Source organism: Homo sapiens, chromosome 10 (assembly GCF_000001405.40).
Source record: "Homo sapiens chromosome 10, GRCh38.p14 Primary Assembly".
Lineage (NCBI taxonomy): Eukaryota > Metazoa > Chordata > Mammalia > Primates > Hominidae > Homo > Homo sapiens.
In genome coordinates this window covers 86894622-86915981 of record NC_000010.11, presented here as the reverse complement: position 1 = coordinate 86915981, position 21360 = coordinate 86894622, and the positions used below count along the sequence as shown (strand labels likewise).

At 39.3% G+C, this 21360-nt stretch overlaps 1 protein-coding gene across 36 annotated transcripts in view; it reads right to left on the bottom strand.

Moving 5' to 3' along the window:
- BMPR1A (bone morphogenetic protein receptor type 1A) overlaps positions 1 to 21360 on the bottom strand; it is a 177082-nt gene that overhangs the window by 16863 nt on the left and 138859 nt on the right. For 33 of the 36 annotated variants that reach the window (NR_176213.1, NR_176212.1, NR_176211.1 and 30 more), the window contains 3 exons: positions 16092 to 16188; positions 15856 to 15955; positions 3598 to 3742 (listed from right to left, as the gene is read on the bottom strand). The exons of 1 other annotated variant lie outside the window; for it this stretch is intronic. Coding sequence is in view for 32 of the 35 variants with exons in the window: in NM_001406562.1 (NP_001393491.1) it covers positions 3598 to 3742; positions 15856 to 15955; positions 16092 to 16188 (342 nt within the window). In the remaining 3 variants the exon portion in view is untranslated. Of the gene's footprint in view, positions 1 to 3597; positions 3743 to 7231; positions 7307 to 13980; positions 14029 to 15855; positions 15956 to 16091; positions 16189 to 21360 lie in introns of all 36 variants that reach the window. 2 more of the 36 variants (NM_001406560.1, NM_001406559.1) reach the window with 2 other exon arrangements.

The following is a 21360-nucleotide window of genomic DNA, read 5'->3' as shown; positions in this document are numbered from 1 at the left end:
TTCCATCCCCTGCTCACAGAATATAAGTATTTATTTGGGACAATATCAGAAGTACTTTAATATTTGTTAAATAAAAGATGTACATGGATTGTTATCTTTCATTTTCAGAAGCATTAGTGATCATTCTAAATTAAAAAGAACATTATGCTCCAAGTTGGAAATGCTTCTAAAATGGACTAGATTTAGTGCAAAGCTAAAGTGACTTTATGTATCATTTATTATAGAATCCTTTTGTAAATTTTGTTCTGTTTTTTTGAGACAGAGTCTCGCTCCGTTGCTCAGGCTGGAGTGCGGCGGCCAATCTCAGCTCACTGCAACTTCTGCCTCCCCAGTTAAAACAATTTCCTGCCTCAGCCTCCCGAGCAGCTGGGATTACAGGCATCTGCCACCACGTCCAGCTAATTTTTGTATTTTTAGTAGAGACAGGGTTTCACCATGTTGGCCAGACTGGTCTCGAACACCTGACCTCAAGTGATCTGCCTGCCTCAGCCTGTAAGTTTTTAAGTCAAGATTATTGAGGTATAATTTATATAAAATGTACCCTTTTTGAGAAAAGTTCAACAAGCCTTGGACAAATCTATATCATGTAATCACCAATACCACAATTAAGATACAGAATATTTTAATAACGTAAAAAAATTCTCACTTTTTGGCCAGGCGTGGTGGCTCACGCCTGTAATCCCAACACTTTGGGAGGCCGAGGCGGGTGGATCACCTGAGGTCAGGAGTTCAAGACCAGCCTGGCCAACATGGTGAAACCCTGTCTCTACTTAAAAAAAAATACAAAAATTAGCTGGGCATGGTGGTGCATGCCTTAATCCCAGCTACTTGGGAGGCTGAGGCAGGAGAATCACTTTTGTGTAGCCTTTTGTGTCTGGCTTCTTTCATGTAGCATAAAGTACTTTTGAAATTCACCCACTGTTGCTGCTACATGTGTTAGAAGTTGTTCCTTTTTACTGATGAGTAATATTCCACTGTATGAATGTACCAGCATTTGTTTATTCATTTAGCAATTCATGAGCTTTGGGGTTGTTTCCAGTTTATGTCTATTATAAATAAAACTGCTATAAACATTCACATTCAGGCCTCTGGTGTGGACAAGTTTTCATATCTCTTGGGTAAATAATTAGCAGAAGGATTGCTTCATTGTACGGAAAGTATGCCCTTAACTTTCCAGGCAATTGTCAAACTATTTTTCAAAATAGCCATACCATTTTGCATTCCAACCAGCAATGTATGAGATTTCTAGTTGATCTACATCTTTGGCACCACTTAATATTATCAGTCTTAGCTATACTAGTGGATGTGCAGTAGTATCTTACTGTGTTTAATTTGTATATCCCTGCTGATGCTGAGCATCTTTTCATGTGCTTGTTTGCCATTCTTATATCTTCTTTGGGGAAGTGTCTGTTCAAATCTTTTGTCCATTTTTTAAAAAAATTGGGTTATCTTATTATTGAGTTGCAAAAGGTCTTTATATATTTTGCACAAAAACCCTGTATCAGATCTGTTTTGCCAATCTGTGACTTGTCTTCTCATTTTCTTGTCTTCTAAATAGCAGAAGTTTTAAATTTTGATAAAGCCTGATTTATCATTAAAAAAATGATTTGTGTTTTTTATGTACTGAAGAAGTCTGCCCAAGGTCAGAATAATTTTTTCAGACATTTTCTTTTAGAGGTTTTATACTTCAACTTTTACATTTAGGTCTATGCTACATTTCAAGTTAATTTGGTATAGAGTGAGGAGGTAAGGACTGAGATTAACTTCTTGGTAAATGGATTCCTGATATTTCCTGCACCATCTGTTAAATGGACTGCCTTTTTCCAATTGAATTACTTGGGCATCTTTTTGTTTTTTTTTTTTTAATCAATTAACCATATTAAGTGCATGTTCCTTTCTAAACTCCATAATCTGTTCCATTCATCAATACATCTATCCTTATGCCAGTACCAAATTGAGATCATTATTGAGTTTTACGGTAAGTCCAGAAATCAGGTAGTGATTCCTCTTTGTTCTTCTACTTCAAAATTGTTTTGGCTCTTCTAGTCCTTTGCATTTCCATATAAATGTTAGAATATACATCAATTGCTATAAAAGTTTGCTCTGATTTTCATTTGGATTCGAATGAAATTACACACCAATTTGAGGAAAACTGAAATCTTAATACTGAGTCCTCAGATTTATAAACATCTCCACTTATTTAGGGCTTTATTAATTTCTTTCAGCAATGTTTTATAATTTTCAGTGTGCAGGTCTTGCATAAATTGTTAGGCTTATTCTAAATATTTCATGGTTTTTGATGCTATTTTAAATACTGTTTTTATAATTACCTAATTGTTTGTTGCTAGAGCCTATAAATTCAATGGTATTTGTACAATGACTCTGTATTCTGCAACCTGATAAAGTCATTTACTGGCTGCAGTAGTTTTATTGTACCATTCTTGGGATTTTCTACGTAAACAATCATGTTGTCTGCCTATGAAGGCAGTTTTACTTTTACCTTTCCAATTCAATTAGAGTTATTTAATAAGATGAATTTCAAAATTAGAGATCAGGGTGGGTGCGGTGGTTCACACCTGTAATCCCAGCACTTTAGGAGCCAAGGTGGAAGGATCAGTTGAGGCCAGGAGTTTGAGACCAGCCTGGCCAACATGGAGAAACCTCATCCCTCAAAAAAAAAAAAAAAAAAAAATTAGCCTGGTGTGGTGGTGCATCTGGTAATTCCAGCTACTTCGGAGGCTGAGACGGGAATTGCTTGAACTTGGGAAGCAGGGGTTGCAGTGAGCCGAAGACTGGGCCACTGCACTCCAGCCTGGGTGACAGAGCAAGACTATCTCGATACGATTAAAATAAAATAAAGTAAAATAAAATAAAATAAGAAGAGATCAGTTTCTTTCAACTAATACAATTAAAAACTTAAACCTATCTGGATATCTAGTGTTCATAATACAGGTCCTCTCAAATAAGAGTTCCTTCAACCCAAAACTGAGTATTTCCATATATAAATGAACCTGCTGGGATTATTTTTTTTTCCCTGATACCAAGAATCCATCCAAATTTGTTGGAATTTATTTGTAATTCCCTTTAAAATTATTTTTTATTGAACTATGTGTTTTGGTAGTAGTATATTGAGAGAAGCATCCTCTCTAAGAATATCTGTTGAAACTTCTTTTTTATTTCAGAATCTGAAATAGTTACAGTTCCCTCAATCAATCAGTTTAAACTTACAGATGCAAGGAATCTTATACCTGATTCCTCTTTAAGTTGGCTGGTAAAATGCTTAGAGCAAAACTTGTGAGCTAACTCTTGCCTTTCATATAGGACTTCGTGATCTAACTTCCCCTGCCTTTCTCTGTAGGACTTGGTTCCTATAACCTGGTTTATAGCTCTATCTTACTTGACTATTCTATTTTTCTTGGTTCATATTTCTTATTTTTAACTAATTTCACCTTGCAATACTGCATACCTCTTTCTAAATAAGGAGAAAAAAATGTGTCCATTATTGTTCCCTGATCTGCAATAATTATACTGTCCACCATCATGAGGACACATTCTAAATCAACACACCATTCATGTCTATAGGAACGTTTAACTTACCAATAAAGGTAGTCCAGACCCACTACCAGAACTTTGTGACTGGTCAATAAGGTCTTTTAGTGATTCTCCAACTGGAATAAATGCTTCATCCTGTTCCAAATCACGATTGTAACGACGTCTGCTTGAGATGCTCTTGCAATAATGTCTTTTAAAAAAGCAGAAAACAATCTACATTAAAAATGAAAAACTATAAAACCCTAAGAAAAACCTTGAGGTTCTCTATACCATTATCCTTCCCTCAGAAAGAATCCTATCCAAATTAGTCTTATCATTGGATAATATATCCTGTTAAATACATCTAGAAATGGAGTTCAGAGTTCTATGTATCATGTTAAAACAGAAAGATGTCTATAGTGTATTGGCATGTAAAAAGACACTATCAAAATCAGATGTGAAGTGTCATCCTAGCTATAAAAAAATACGACTTCAAATAATCACAATATACATTTCCTTACATTCCAACCCAAACCTCGAAGTCATATTTTCAGACTTTTGCCAACTTGATAGATATGAAACAATGCCTTCTTTTAATATGCTTTCCTCTGGTTACTAGCAAAATTGAATTTTTTTCCACAGTTCAGCTTTTTTTTTTCTGTGAACTGCCTACTCATATTTTTAACAAATACTTATTTTTTGAGATAGAATCTAGCTCTGTTGCCCAGGCTGGAATGCAGTGGTACGATCTCAGTTCACTGCAACCTCTGCCACCCAGGCTCAAGCGATCCTCCCACCTCAGCCTCCTGAGTAGCTGGGACTACAGGTACGTGCCACCATGCCCAGCTAATCTTTTTTTGTATTTTTAGTAGAGATGGGGTTTTGCTATGTTGCCCAGGATGGTCTCGAACTCCTGAGCTCAAGCGATCTGCCATGTTGGCCTCCCAAAGTGCTGGGATTACAGGCGTGAGACACTATGCCTGATCAATCTATTTGTGTTTATTGCACATTATTCAATTGAAGTGTTCCCTGAACTCTTCTCCTCATTGATTTGTAGGCGTTCATTATATAATCTGTATACCAAATGTTGACAATTGTGTTTCAACAATCTTCTCAGTCCATGATTATCACAGCATTCTCTTTATGGCATTTTTATGTCAGTTTTTAAATTTTAGTGTAGACAAATTACTTCATCTTTACTCTTTTTGACATGCTTTTGTCTCTTAAGACAACCTTCCAATCCTAATGTCAAGAAATATGTTCTCAAGGTTTAATTTTTTTTTTTTTTTTTTTTTTGAGACAGGGTCTCACTCTGTCACCCAGGCTAGAGTGTAGTGGCACGATCTCAGCTCACTGAAGCTTCAACCTCCTGGGCTTAAGTGATCCTCCCACCTCAGCCTCCCAAGTGGCTGGGACTACTGGTATGTTCCACTACGCCTGGCTAATTTTTGTATTTTTCATAGAGATGAGGTTTCACCATGTTGCCTAGGCTGGTCTCAAACTCCTGGGATAGGAAGTTGATTTGACCACAGGAGTTCGAGATGAGACCAGCCTGGGTTCAAAGCAATCCTCCTGCTTTGGCCTCCCAAACTGCTGAGATTACAGGTGTGACCCACTGTGCCTGGCCTGGTTTTAACATATTGATTCTCTCATTTAGTCATATGGTCCATTCAGAATGTATAATATATAATGGAAACTAAGAAACAAATTAAAGTATTTTCCATATAAATAGCCCAATGTACTTAACCATTATAATTTTATTTTTAAAACTTTATATGGGTAATTGACTCAAATAGTTTAAAATCCAAAAGACACAAAAGGGTATATGGCAAAAAAAAATCCTCCTCCCAGCTCTATCCCTAAGCTATCAAGTTCACTTCCTTAGAAGAGAATTATTTCCCTGTTTCCTTAGAAACAAAACTACTTCTGGTTTCTCTGGTAATCTGGAGAGACACTGATGCCGTTCTGCATCTTGCTTCTTACCTGGGGTATCATTCCACGTAAGTACACAAAGTGTCACCTTTTTCTTTAATGGCTAGATAGTATTCCACTGTATAGCTGCTAACCATTCACCTATTGGTAATCTTTATTTTTATTTTTCTTTATTTATTTTGAGATGGAGTCTTACTCTGTCCTCCAGGCTGGAGTGCAATGGCGCAATCTCAGCTCACTGCAAGCTTTGCCTCCCGGGTTTAAGCAATCCTCCCTGCCTCAGCCTCCCGAGTAGCTGGGATTACAGGCACCCACCACCACACCTGGCTAATTTTTGTATTTTTTTTTAGTAGAGATGGGGTTTCACCATGTTGGCCAGGCTGGTCTTGAACTCCTAACCTCAAATGATCCACCTGCTTCAGCCTCCCAAAGTGCTGGGATTACAGATGTGTGCCACTGCGCCCGGCCACCTACTGGTAATATTTGGATGGTTTCTAGTCTTATTGCATTCAAGTGTGAAATACAATTTTCTACCATATCTGTAGTAGGAATTACTGAATTTGGAACTTTGATGGAGTGCCCTACTGACCTCCTTAAAGGGTGAACCAGTTGGAATCCCTCCACCAACATATGAGAATGCCTATTTTCCCTACACCTTTATCCCTACCCTTGTGTTATAAACTTTTAGAATTCAGTTTTAAATGTATCAAATTTTATATTTATAGAACTTAATATTTAATTTTATCAAGCATCTTTATTCGCCTACCTTTGAATGTCATACAGTTCTCCATGGCTTGGTAATGAAAAAGCCATACTTTGTCTCCTCTCCTCCTCCTATCCAGTTTCCACTTCTTAGAATAAAGAATTGTGACTTTTTGAAGCTTATTTAATATTTACCTAATTCTTTTTTCTTTTTTTTCTTTTTTTTTTTTGAGATAGGGTCTCACTCTTGTCGCCCAGGCTAGAGTACAGTGGTGTGATCTCAGCTCACTGCAACCCCCGCCTTCCTGGTTTGATCAATTCTTGGGAACCCCAAGTAGCTGGGACTGCAGGCACACACCACCATACCAGGCTAATTTTTGTATTTTTAGTAGAGTTAAGGTTCCGCTAGTTGGCCACGCTGGTCTCGAACTTCTGGCCTCAAGTGATCCACCCACCTCAGCCTCCCAAATTGCTGGGATTACAGGTGTGAGCCACCACAGCTGGCCCTCATTATTTCTAAATAGCATCCTTACATTGACATTTTAAGTTTTTCAGTCTTAGGCTTTAACTATTGACCTTACACTGGGGAATATGACAATTTAACTGATCATTTAACACCCTGCGGCTTCCCAAAACAGAAATACTTCCATCCTCACATCCTCCTTACAGTTATATTATTTGTTTAGCTCAACATTCAGTGCTTGCATTATTATGACTACATAAACTCTATCTACACAAGGCCCTCGCTGTATAACATGACTGTTGTTTTCTTTCTTGCACACCCTCTTCCCCCTGCCCCAGAGCACAGGCAAAGATCCATTACTTTGGAGGGAGGAGAAGCAGCAAAGTCCCTCTGCCTCTTGGGGATGTAGAGGAAATGCTCCCTGTGCTCTGACCAGGCTAAGATCCTCTGATGCTGAGGAAGAGGAGAAGATGACACCTTCCTCTCTCCTTGTGGGCATAGGATCCTACAGGAGGACCACAGGGCAGTCAGCTACCTCTGTGGGAGGAGGTGCAAGAGCCCTGAGGAAGCTGCACCCTTAAGGTCTAGCAACACAGAACCTACCTAAGGACAACAGGCACGCCCCCCTCACTTTCCAACTGTCCTCTAATGTGAATAACACGCAACAGCAGATGACCTCTGTGGGAGGAACAAGAACATAGACAGTGACTCCCACAGAGGTGCAATGACGTGGTAAGAGCTGAAAGCTACAGGGGAGGTAGGAACTCAGAGAAAAACCCTTCCTTCTGCACCTAAACCCCAACTCGAAGCAAATGAACAGCAGCCCATCACTGAAGGAATTTGAAACTTGTGAGGCATTGAAGGCACAGGCCCAAACACTGAACAAAACCCTAACCCAAATCGACTCGTACTAGACTGAACACCTCCTGCCTATCAACAGCCTAAGAGGAGGTATGCCCATTTTCAGGAGTATGTCTTTATTTCAATGTCTGTTGTTCTTTTTAAAACTGATGTATAATAGTTGTACATATTTTGGGGGGTACATGTGATATCTTATGCATGTATACGATGTAAAATGAACAAATCAGAGTAACTGGGATAGCCATCACCTCAAATATTTATCTTTTGTTTTTCTTTGGGTGGGGAAGAAGAGGCAGGGCCTTGTTCTGTCGCTTGGGCTAGAGTGCAGTGGCATGATCTTGGCTCACTGCAACCTCCGCCTCCTGGGCTCAAGCAATCCTCCCACCTCAGCCTCCCCAGCAGCTGGGACCACAGATGTGCACCACCATGCCCAGCTAATTTTTGTATTTTTTTGTAGAGATGTGGTTTCACCATGTTGCCCAGGCTGTATCTTTGTGTTGGGAATATTACAATTCTTCTCTTAAAGACTAGCTACTTTGAAATACACAATAAATTACTAACTATAATTTCCCTACTGTACTATCAAATACTAGAACTTATTCCTTCTATTAGTAATTGTATTTTTGTGCCCCTTAATCAACCTCTCTTCATCCATCCATCTTCATCCAACCTCCCTCCCTCCTTTCTAACCTCTGGTATGTTATTCTACTTACCACCTCTATGAAATCAACCTTTTTAGCTCCCACGTATGATTGAGAACATGTAATATTTGTCTATGACTGGCTTATTTCACTTAACATTAATGAACTCCAGTTCCATTCACGTTGCTGAAAATAACAGGATTTCATTAATTTTCTGGTTGAGTAATATTCCACTGTATGGACCACATTTTCTTTATCCATTCACCTGCTGATGGACACGGTTGATTCCACATCTTGGCCATTATGAATAGTGCTTAAACACAGGGGAATGAACAGGCCTTCAATATACTGATTTCCTTTTGGATATATACCAAATAGTGGGATTGCAAGATCATATGGTAGTTCTGATTTTAGTTTTTTGAGGGACCTCCACACTGTTCTCCATAGTAGCTGTGCCAATTTACATTTCCACCAGCAGTGTGCTAGGGTTCCCCTTTCTCCATACCCTCCCCAGCATTTGTTTTCTTTTTGATAATGGCCATTTTAATTGGGGTGAGGTTGATATCTCATTGTGACAATCTCTGCTATTCTTAACATGATGTACAACATCCAAATAAACTTATGAGACCCATTAAAAAGCAAGGAATAATCACTCACTGCCAAGAGGGCAGGCAATCAAGAGGCCAAGTGTCAGACAGCACTTGTGCTGAAGCTGTCAGGAGGGCCTTTCACAGAACTGTGATTAAAAGGGGAAGGCAACTGGTGAAGGTGGTAACAGAATACACAGATGGAGAGTCTCAGCAGAAAAATGAAGTCAGACAGGAATGTGAGAAAGGGAAAACATGCTATTAAAGATGAAGAATGTTTGATGAGCTCAACAATACACAGCTCAGATGGACACAGGTGAAGAAAAAAAAAAATCTGTGCATTTGAAAATAGGTAAATAGAAGTTACCTGAACTAAAATACAAAGAGAAAAAACAAGTGAGAAAAACTGAAGAATTAAAGAGCTGTGGCACAACACCAAATAATCTAAAATATGTATAATTGGAGTCTCAAAAACAGAAGAGACAGATAAAAGGACAAAGTGTTTTTTTTTTTTTTTTTTTTTTTTTTTTTTTTTTTTTTTGAGACGGAGTCTCACTCTGTCGCCCAGGCTGGAGTGCAGTGGCGCGATGTCGGCTCACTGCAAGCTCCGCCTCCCGGATTCACGCCATCCTCCTGCCTCAGCCTCCCGAGTAGCTGGGACTACAGGCGCCCGCCACCACGCCTGGCTAATTTCTTTTTTTGTATTTTTGGTAGAGACGGAGTTTCACCATGTTAGCCAGTATGGTCTCGATCTCCTGGCCTCGTGATCCGCCCGCCTCGGCCTCCCAAAGTGCTGGGATTACAGGCGTGAGCCACCGCGCCCAGCCAAAAGGACAAAGTGTTTTAAAAAAAATAGTAGATAATTTTGCAATAATAATGAAAGATAGCAAACCATAGATTCACTAAGCTCAGTGAAACCCAAAGCAGAGTAAATACCAAAAAAGAAACACACACACACGCTTCTAAATGTATTGTAGCTGTTTAAAAGATAAAGGGAAAACATTAAAGGATGCCATGAAAAAAATTACATATAATACATCAAAGATAAAATGTATGTCAGAAGGCATGCAAGTGGAAGATAATGAGTGACAGCTTTAAGGGAAACAAACTTGAGCCCATCCAGAATTCTATAGCCAGTGAAAATACCTTGGGAAAATGAAGTCAAAAGACTGCAGACAAAAGCTGAGAGGACTTACAGCCAGCAGACCTGCACTCCAAGAGGTTAAAGAAATTCTTCAGGCAGAAGGAATATGGTATCAAATGAAAACTTGGACCTAAAACTTGGAATTAAATACATGGAGAGTGCTGAAAGTGATAAAAATATGTGTACATATAGGGCATTTTTTCTTATTTTTAATCACTTTAAAAGCTGATTGGCAGCTTCTTTTTTAGGTATTCAGAAAATGTTTCTTTCTTATTAAATAAAACATTACTTGGCAATTTTTTTTTTTTTGCTGTAATCACTGCAACTTAAAAAAATCATTCAATTCTTACTATTTAACTACTCTAGGACCAGGAGTCCCCTAAAGACAATGAGGATAAAGGGTCCATTATAAAGCCAGAAGCAGGCTTTTCATCTGACAAATGCATCCGTGATACTATTTCCCAAGCAGAAATTCTGGGCCAAGGTGGCTGGCAAACATCAACAAGAGTGAGTAAGTATCCACTGTGTGCCAAGCATGAGGGACACACAAGATTCACCATGGGCACCCTTCAAAATTCAATAGGAAAGTGGCAATTTAAACAGCCAGCCAGTTGATCATCAATATTAATGGTTAAGTAATCTCTGTTACCAATGAGATTCCTGTTGAATGGAAATGCAGACTTTTGGCAAATATGCATGAGTAAGTAAACGAATACTTGCCAATGTAAAAAAATGCAAGATAAAATTAGTAAGTGTTATGGGGGCAGATCATAGGATCTAAGCAGTCTGAAGGATTAAAGGAGCTACAAAAGAAGATGCCAGAGGAAACAACCAGGAACTGGCGTATGGTACAGAATGATGCCTCGTCCACAGTGGAGGGAGGCCATGGTTCCAGATAAGGTTTTAGAGAAGGTATAGGTTTTGAGGATCATGGGTCATGAATGTAAATGAGACTGAAGAATAAATTGCAGACGTATCTAAATTGGAGGAAAACGATCACATCAGAAAAAAGGGAAACAAAATATTAATGAGGCAAACAAAACAGACAAACCTTAATATGCTGACGGACAGACCTCTCTTTAACTTTAATTTTATTCTTTTACGGTTTGCTATGGAGAACAACTTGTGACTTGTTAAAGTTCAACTAAATATGAATGAATATTCCAAATTACAGATTGTATATATCTGATCAATAATGAATCTTCACAGACTGAACTAGCACATGAAGTTCTAAAGCTAAATAAACAGGGCAGTCACAAAGTTCTATGTAGTATTTAGTTTAGAACTATAAAAAAGCCTACATGACCAGTTCCTGATGTCTGATTGTATGTTCTGTGAAGTGTTATAGGTCACTCACTTGAGTGTCCATGGCCTGAGTCTCAGATGAGTAGTCTTTTTTGTTCATCTTAAAAGATATTGTTAGTTTGTGCCAGGGTCACTTAGATCCCCATTTCCGGATCTTCATTCTTTTATGTGGATTCTTATCTTCACCTGGCCTGTCTTTCCACCCGAAGAACTTCCCTTCACATTTCTTGTTGGGTAGGTCTAAGGGGGCGGGGTTCTTTCAAGTTTTCTGTATGACTGGAAATCTTCACATTACCTTCATTTTTGAAGGATATTTTCTCTGGCTATAGAATTCAAAGTCTGTGATGTTTTTCTTTGGGCACTTTAAAGATGTTGGTTCGCTATCTTCTTGACTGCACTGTTTCCAACAGAAGGTCTGCTGTCATCCTTAACTTTGTGCCTCTGTAGATACTCTGCCTTTTTTCCTTCTTGTTTCATTTAACATTTCTTTATTATCGGTTTTGAGCAATACAATTATCATGTGCCTTAATGTAGTTTTCTTCATGTTTCTTATACTCAGGGTTTGCTGAGCTTTCAGATATCTGGATTCATGGTTTTCATTAAATTTGAAAAAGCTGAGTGCAGTGGCTCACGCCTATAGTCCCAACACTTTGGGAAGCCGAGGCAGGTGGATCACTTGAGGCCAGGAGTTCGAGACCAGCCTGGCCAACATGGTGAAACCCCATCTCTACTAAAAATACAAAAATTAGCCAGGCTTGGTGGTACACGCCTGTAATCCCAGCTACTTGGGAAGCTGAAGCACGAGAATCGCTTGAACCCAGCAGGTGGAGTATGCAGAGAGCTGAGATTGCACCACTGCACTCCAGCCTGGGTGACAGAGCAAGACCTTGTCTCAAAAATAAAAATAATAGGCCGGGCACGGTGGCTCATGCCTGTAATCCCAGCACTTTGGGAGGCCAAGGCGGGCGGATCATGAGGTCAGGAGATCGAGACCATCTGGCTAACACGATGAAACCCCGTCTCTACTAAAAATACAAAAACTTAGGCATGGTGGCAGGTGCCTGTAGTCCCAGCTACTCGGAAGGCTGAAGCAAGAGAATGGCGTAAACCCGGGAGGTGGAGCTTGCATTGAGCGGAGATCGTGCCACTGCACTCCAGCCTGGGCGACAGAGCGAGACTCTGTCTCAAAATAAATAAATAAATAAATAAATAAAAATAATAATAATAGATAAATTTGAAAACATTTGATCATTATTTCTGTATGTTTTTCGTCCCTCCTCTCTTCTGGGAACTCCAATTATATCTATATTAGGCCATCTGAAGTTGTCCCACAGCTCACTATTCTCTATTCATTCCTATGTCTTCATGTTCACTCATCTTTTCTTCTACAGTCTGTCACTAATTTCATCTAGTATATTATTTCATCTGAGATATTATAGATTTCATTTCCTAAAGTTTCATTTTGGTCTTTTACAAAATCTGCCATGTCTTGATTTAACTTTTGTACATAAAAAATACAGTTATAATAACTATTTTAATGTAATTGCTAATTCTAAGGTCTATATCAGTTCTGGGTCAGTGGTTTTGATTGCTTCATTTCTTCCCTCATTATGGACCATATTTATATATGTATTCATTTATTCATAGTATTCATTTATTGGATGGCAGATATTGTGAATTTTACCTTGTTGGATGCCAGATATTTTTATATTCCTATAAATACTGTTGAGTTTGTTCTAGGATACAGTGACTTAGAAATGGTGTGATCTGTTTGGGGCTTGCTTTTAGGGTGAGACCAGAGCCATGTTTAGTCTAGGGCTAATTATTCCCCACCACTGAGGCAAAATCCTCCTGAGTCCTTCAACCAAAACCTATGAATTATGGGGTTTTCAACTCTCACAGCTGGTGTGAACAGATCCTACTCCCAGCCTTGTGTGAGCACCAAACACTGTTTTCTCAATCATTTCAGGTGCTCTTTCCCTAGGCTTGGTAGCTTCCTCACAACTCTTCGAACTGAGACAGGCTACTGGCTACACCTGGGTTCCCCCTGTGATGCCCAACCCGAAACTCTGTTCAGGGAGAAGAAGGTGGGCAATCACAAGGCTCACCTCACTTGTTTCTGGTTTCTCAGAGATCAGTATCCTTCACAGCCTGACACCTTGATTGGCAAGCTGTTAGTATATGGGTAGGGTTTACTGATTACAAGCTTCACTGTAAGATAATCTGCCTGGACCATTTCACTGGGCCCTAACAGCAGTATTTTTAGGTTTTATCTCTTGGGCTGAACAGATTTCCTTAAGAAACATCCTACCCATTGCTTAGAGAGCACACACCTGGCTGATAGGGTTCTTTACTATGTGGCTGAAGGCACTGCAGGCAGTCTCAAGACACACCACAGTGAAAAGTGTAGGTAGCTCTGAGGTAACGCAGCATGAAAAAAAAACAAAAAAAGAAAAGTATAGGTAGCTCATATTACAAAGGGCTGATTTCTGAAATATAAAGAGCTTCTATAAATCAAAGAGAAAAAAATCTATGCAATTCAATGGAAAAACAGGCCCCCCAAAATGAATACATGATTTAAATAAAAATATAGATGGTTCTTTTCTTAAAAGAAAAATAAAAGCATACTCAACAATATTTTACTATACACATTAGAGGCCAGGTGCGGTGGCTCACGCCTGTAATTCCAGCAATTTGGGAGGGCGAGGTGGGTGGATCACTTGAGGTCAGGAGTTTGAGACCAGCCTGGTCAACATGGTGAAACCCCCGTCTTTACTAAAAATACAAAAATTAGCCAGGTGTGGCAGTGCATACCTGTAATCCCAGTTACTTGCAAGGCTGAGGCATGAGTATCGCTTGAACCTGGGAGGCAGAGATTGCAGTGAGCCGAGATCACTGCACTCCACCTGGGAGACAGAGTGAGACTCTATTTCTAAATAAATAAATAAATAAAATAATATATACATTACAGTGCCCTTGTGTAATAAAGAAACCAATGTATAAAAAAAGTATTTTAATATGAAAATATAAATTAAAATCACCTTGAGATATTATCACCTGTCTTACTGGCAAAGATTCAGTTATTTGACAAAGGGACTTTGAGCTTAAAATAACCGATTGAGCATACTTGCTTGCTTTTACTAGTCCACTAAAACAGCAATAAAGAGTTTTAAACTTCTTTATCTAACAGGCAAGGAGAAAAGGAGATAAAATAACAGTAAACACTGTTGGAATTCATGAAGCAGATGAATGAGCAGTGACTTTGCACACCCAAAAAGTCTGATTCTTAGGTTAGAAATTGAGAAAACCAAGAAGCAACCAGTTTATACTATGGAGTTCCCCCAAGAACTTCGGAACTGGCCATTGTGGTTATGTCTGGAAGTAAAGTTGAGGGTGACAATAACACCAAGAAGACTGCTTGAAAGTCAATTTTCAGAAAGTCGGACACTGGATTATCCAATACTGTGTTAGCAAATCACTCCCAAACTGAGTGGCTTAAAACAGCAATTGTTATCTCACTGTTTCTGTGGATCATGCATTCAGGAGTGACTTGATTGGGTAGCTCAGGGTCAGATGTCAGCTGAGACTGCACTCATGTGAAAGCTTGACAGGAGCTTGCAGTCACTTCCAAGGTGGCTCACTTCCAAGGCCGACAGGCTGCAGGCTGGGTATTGGCAAGAGGCCTCAGTTCCTCCCTGTGTGGGCCTCTCTCAGAGTTGAGTGTCCACATAGCATGATGCCTGGCTTCCCCCAGAGTGAGTGATCCCAGAGACCATGGTGAAAGCTGCAAAGCTGTTTATAACGTAGACTTGGAAGTCACTTTTGCCATATCCTATTTGTCACACAGATCAGCCCTGATGTGTTATGGGAGGGGACTGGCCCCAAGGGGAGGAACCCCAGGCAGTGAGAATCACTGGGGGCCATTTGGGATGATGGCTACCTCAGATGTGGAGCTCTCCTCTCGACCCCATCTCCTACTCTGAATAATCATATGACTTTCGCATCACCTCCCTAACAGAAGATTCCAAGTCTATTATCTAGAAAGACCCAAAACACGATTTCTCAACTGTGGTACCCCATTGTTGAGGGTGAGGAATTATAATAAAAACAAGGAGGTATGCGAACGTCTTTTCCTCAGTAATCTGAAGTGTTTCCTTTATTATATGCTAAATTGCTGTATGTACTTGGGTTTGTTTATTTATGGGTTTACTAACTTGTTTCATTAATGTATCTAGGTTGGTATGATGTTTTATTATTAAAGTTTATATCCATTAGGGACTGTCTCTTATTACTCTTCTTTTTTGGCAACTGTCTTCTGAAATCATGGCTACATGCAAACAATTCTGGAGCTCCAAATTTCTAAAGAATTATAACGCAAAAAAAAAAAAAAGAATTATAACACAGTGGGTTTCTTGGGACAGATCGAAAACATTCAGATGCCAGAAAGCTCACTATTCCATTAATAAGAAAATCATAAGTAATCATGAACATACAAGAAGTATGAAATTGTGCCCAATTAATTAATTGGTAGTAAGGTCCTTTTCCCTTAAGAGAACTATAGTCTAGTTACATAAAGGAGATATACAACCAGAGAATACAAGTTAATGGTTTCTGCAACTGGCTTTACAAACAGCGGTTGACATCTAATATTTGACAAAATATTTTGCTTCAAAATAAATATCTTCTTACTTGTAACAAAAGCAGCTGGAGAAGATGATCATAGCAATTATGCAGACAGCCATAGAAATGAGCAAAACCAGCCATCGAATGCTGCCATCAAAAAACGGACCTGACAATAAAAGTAAACAATGTAAACAATTGAAATGAAAAAATAATCTGACGTGTTCAATTCTAGGTAGCCTGGTTACTGTAAAACCAGAGAAGATATTTGAGAAGCATGCTCCGACTTTTCTCGGCTAACCTACCTATGACAACAGGGGGCAGTGTGGGTTGCAAATACTGGTTACATAAATTGGTCCGACAACATTCTATTGTCCGGCGTAGCTGGGCTTTTGGAGAATCCTAAAAGAAGAGTAATGATAAAATTAGAAATGGTTTGGTATTTTAAACTGATATGTCTTTTTAGTATTCATAAAATACAATTTCTATTTCAGTGAGTGAAAGGGGCCTGCAAATTTTATATGTAAAAACAGATTATTGAAAGATTAAAATTTGTGCTGAAATAGTGAAGACTGCAAAATGGCTTTTCTTAAGAACATATCTATGTGGATGGTGTGTTAGACACTAGATTAGAACACCAAACCCGAACTTAGGTAATTACAATCATAAACTGGTCTGGTACATATAATCTCACTGTGGTACTGAGATGTGGATGAGATTTAAGATCAGACTAAAAAGTGGAGGGTGTCGTAGTCCAAAGAAAAGGCTGGTTAGCAAGGCAGCTGAGCGTGCAGAGGCGCTGCAGACCCTGCCTACCCCAGCCACGTCGGAAGTCATGAGCCTGATGCAGAGGCAAGTTGAGCATCCATGGTGAGGGAAGGACAAACTACAGAAAGCATTCTTGAGAGCTGATTACAGACCACCAGCCAGCAAGGAGACTGTCCCTAAGAGAGCAGAAAGCTAGCACAGAGAAGGACACAGTCACTGGAAGCGCAGCAGCACTTGCATGTGATGTTTTATTGGATTAACAACACAATATCTGACAAGTTGAATGCTGCAGCCTGGGGAGAACTGCCATTCTGACCAACATGTGAATAGCAAAGAACTGTTTGTCACTACACAAGTAACAAGAATGTAAGCGGAAATTAAGGAAAAGCCTCAGTATAATCAGCTATGACTTTAAAAAGGTAAACATGAGCCTGTGACTTCAGATTCTGTTGGGAAGATGGTCAAGAGCATTTGGAAATGTCCAAATACATATTTTATATTTTAAATGAAGTTTTATTAATAACTTTTAAACAATTTTTACTTTTAAATGATCATAAGGAGAGAGAGAAAAAAGTTAGGGTTAAACTGGAGAGTCTGAAATAATCCCAGATTCAGAGAAAACACATGGAGGAGGAAATGAAAATCATATAACTAACGATGAATGAAAGAAGTGTCAAGCATCCAAAAACGGTTCCAGGAAAGCTAAAATGAGCTTGGCCTTGCAGAAGAGAAAAGTGCAAAGAAAAACCAAGAAAGGGTTTCTTTGGCAGCATGGGGTTTCTCCAAGCAACAGATGTACTGCTGACATGACAGTGGATGATAAGGAGAAAAACGAACAATTCTTCAACTCCTGTCTTGTTTTTTCTTCTCTATGAAGGATGCTGACAGGGATGACGAAGGTAGCTCAAACACTACTAAGTGGGAAACGACATCCCAAATGTACGAAGAGATCTTACGATGCGTTTGTATTCCTTATGAGTTCCTATATTCTAACCTAGGTGAATTATATCCCAGGAAGATGAAAGCCCTTGTAAGAGAGATGGCTGAAAGACAGGTGTAATTTAAAGACTTTAGAAAGATGGAGTGTTGGAAACTACAATAGATAATGGAATGTTATATTTTTATATAAACATTTCATATAAACATGTATATATGTTTATATATATGTTATATATATATGTGTTATATACGTCCCTTTTCTTTAAAAGGGAAAGAAAGTAGACTTTAAACTGGGTGTGGTGGCTACTTGGGAGGCTGAGGCATGAGGATCACTTGAACCTAGGAGTTCAAGTCCAGCCTGAGCAATGTAGTGAGACCCTATCTCTAAAAATAATAATTTTTAAAAAGAAGCCAAAAATAGACTCTGCCAACAGATTAAGGAGCATAGTATTACAGAAAATACAAGGGTTTTGGAATCAAACAGTTTGAATCCTAGCTTTGCCAGTTGTTCACTTTGTGAACTTGAGCAAGTAATTTATCTCTAGGCTTTAGTGTGCTAAAAAATACAGGTTAAAAAAAGATGAACTGGGAACAGTGGCTCACACCTGTAATCCTAGCACTTTGGGAAGCTGAAGTGGCAGAATGGCTTGAGCGGAGGAGTCTGAGATCAGGCTGGGCAAAATAGTGAGACCCCATCTCTAAAAAAATTTTTAAATCAGCCAGGTGTGGTGGTACACGCCTGTGGTCCCAGCTACTCAGGAGGCTGAGGTGGGAGGATCACTTGAACCCAGGAGGTTGAGGCTGCAGTGAGCTGTGATTGCACCACTGCACTCCAGCCTGGGTGATGGAGCAATACCCTGTCTTTAAAAAAATCTGCTCTATAGAGTAGTTGGGGGGAAACAAGGTAGAATATACTGAATCCCCAGGATACTATACACATATAACAAATATTCAATAAATTAACTTCCCTTCCTCTTGCTTGACATGAATCCCAGATGAGATTCTAGACTAAGCCAAAAAACTTCTAAGTCCCTAAAGACCCATTGTGGCTTCACTAAGAATAAGCAACACCTGCCTCATCTCACGTCTGTCTTACTCAGGTTAACTATGTATCTGGGTAGGCAAAAATTGGGTTTGTCGAGATTATGAATTTGGGTGACACAGCCTTTCCTTTTCCTGCACTCTCCACCCGTACCCTCTGCCCAAGTCAATTTTGTATTTCTAGACTTATGTGGGGAATATGAATTTTTGTGGGAAACAAATTTACTTGGCACTGATGAATTAAGTGATTCTGACTTAAATAAACTTATTCAGTGTGCTCAGGCTGGAGACAGTATATGAGGAAGGAACTGACGCCAAGTTACAAGGAATGGCAGTGAGGTTTCTGAAAAATAATTTGTCCTATAGGAGGAAACAGAATAAGCACAATTTACCAATGCAGCCTGGGGAGTGGAAGAACGCGAGGCCTGGTGAGAGGCACTCACATCTGTTCTGTGCCACACATGGCAGTGCGTGAAGACACTGGGGAAAGGGTTAGGATGAGCATGACAGAGCTGTGCTTGGGTGAGTGCTGTGCTTGGGTGACGTTTACCAAGAAATACAGAAAGTTAGATAAGTGCTGGTCAAAATGCTTGCTGGCGTAACCCAATTCTTAAAAGCAACGTATCCTTCACGTATTTTTCAGGTGACACTTAAAAATTTTCACCATAAATTTAAATGGCTGCAATATATTAATAATTTCTGGCTTACTGTACATAATGACACTTTGACATAGAATTGTTACCTCATTTTGAAATAGAAGTGTTACATCATTTTTTAATGCATTCAGTAGAATCTAAATAGCATTGCAATTTGATACCCATTATCATCATTTTAAAGAATAAATGAACAAATGCTTCTTTTAGCAATGAGAAATTTTACACTAGAACTCTTATTTCTCCTTGAACTCTTATTTCCTTTCAATATCTCCCATGATAATTACGTCCTAAAGTAATATATAACTGTCCACATCAAAGATAAGTACATAAAAATTCTTTTATTTCCTATAACTGTATGTCTTTAAGTCTTAGAAAATTATTCTAGTTTATCATAATCATTATTAGCATAAAATTGATCAAAACAATATATATGTTACAATCTTCATTAAATACAAACTTAAGAAAATGTTATTGGAAAGGGCATTTTTTCTTTTTCTTTTTTTTTATGATAGAAGATCTAGCTATCACTCCGCACACTAGAGTGGAGTTGCATGATCTCAGCTCACTACAACCTCTGCCTCCCAGGCTCAAGTCATCCTCCCACCTCAGCTTTTTTTTTTTTTTTTCTTTTCTTTTTTGAGACGGAGTCTCGCTCTGTTACCCAGGCTAGAGTGCAGTGGTGCTATCTCGGCTCACTGCAACCTCCAACTCCTGGGTTCAAACGATTCTCCTGCCTCAGCCTCCCAAGTAGCTGGGATTACAGGAGTGTGCCACCACGCCCGGCTAATTTTTGTATTTCTAGTAGAGACGGGGTTTCACCATGTTGGCCAGGCTAGTCTGAAACTCCTGACCTCAGGTGATCCACCTGCCTTGGCCTCCCAAAGTGCTAGAATTACAGGCGTGAGCCACCAGGCCCAGCTAATTTTTGTAGAGATGGGGTTCTGCCGTGTTGCCCAGGCTGGTCTCAAACTTGTGAGCTCAAGCGATCTGCCCGCCTCGGCCTCCAAAAGTGCTGGGATTACAGGCATGAGCCACTGCACCTGGCCAGGCATTTCTTAATGATATGGATGGGACTTTTGAAACAAATCAGTTCACGAATTCATGAATAAAAATTACTGCTAGAGTGAGAAGATTCATCATTAATCTTATTCTTATTTTTCCTTTTGTCATCATCAAGACAATGTATTCACATAAGCAAGATGATGATCACGGAAGGAGACTATTATACCATTGTCCCATAATTTTTTTTTTTTTGGATGGAGTTTCACTCTTGCTGCCTAGGCTGGAGTGCAATGGCATGATTTTGGCTCACTGCAACCTCCACCTCCTGTGTTCAAGCAATTCTCCTGTCTCAGCCTCCCAAGTAGCTGGGATTAAAGGCACGCACCACCACGCCTGACTAAGTTTTGTATTATCAGTAGAGACGGGGTGTCGCCATGTTGATCAGGCTGGTCTCTAAGTCCTGACCTCAGATGATCTGCTCGCCTCGGCCTCCCAAAGTGCTGGGATTACAGGCTGGGGCCACCGTGCCACCACGATCAGCCCATAATTGTTTAAAGTCCTTCCAAAGCATATGCTAAAAGTGCCATAAAGATCCTATCATCGAAAATTATTTTCAATGATCCAGCAACTTGGTTGAAAGCAAACAATTGAAAACCATCTGTCATGTAAACACTTATTTGATATCCCGACATAGCCTACACTGATGCCTTTACTTCGAATTACAACACCGTTTGGAACCTTGAAGTTTTACACCTCAGGCCTTCTATTTGTAAACTAGGAGGGGTTGACTATGAAAAGTGACTAAGGGAAAGAGAACTGCTTGAGAAGTTCTGTTCTCAGGCAGAGAAATATTCAGCAACAGGACCTACTGAAGTTTAGGATCCAAAAACTGATTCCCTTAAAACTATCAACGTGCCCGTTACCCTTGTATAACACAGTCTGAGTGTACCCAGGGATATGGGTAACAGCATGAAGACTGCTCTATTAAAGAATCAATATGGTCAAAGCTAACATCTATTAAGCCCTTACTATGTGCTAATTGTGCTAAACTATTTACATGTATCTCATTTGATCCTCATAGTAATTCCTTCATGGATGAGAAAACGAGAGCAGAGCACCTTGTCCGAAGGTTCACATATATAGTATATAGATTTGAACAGCTTGTCAA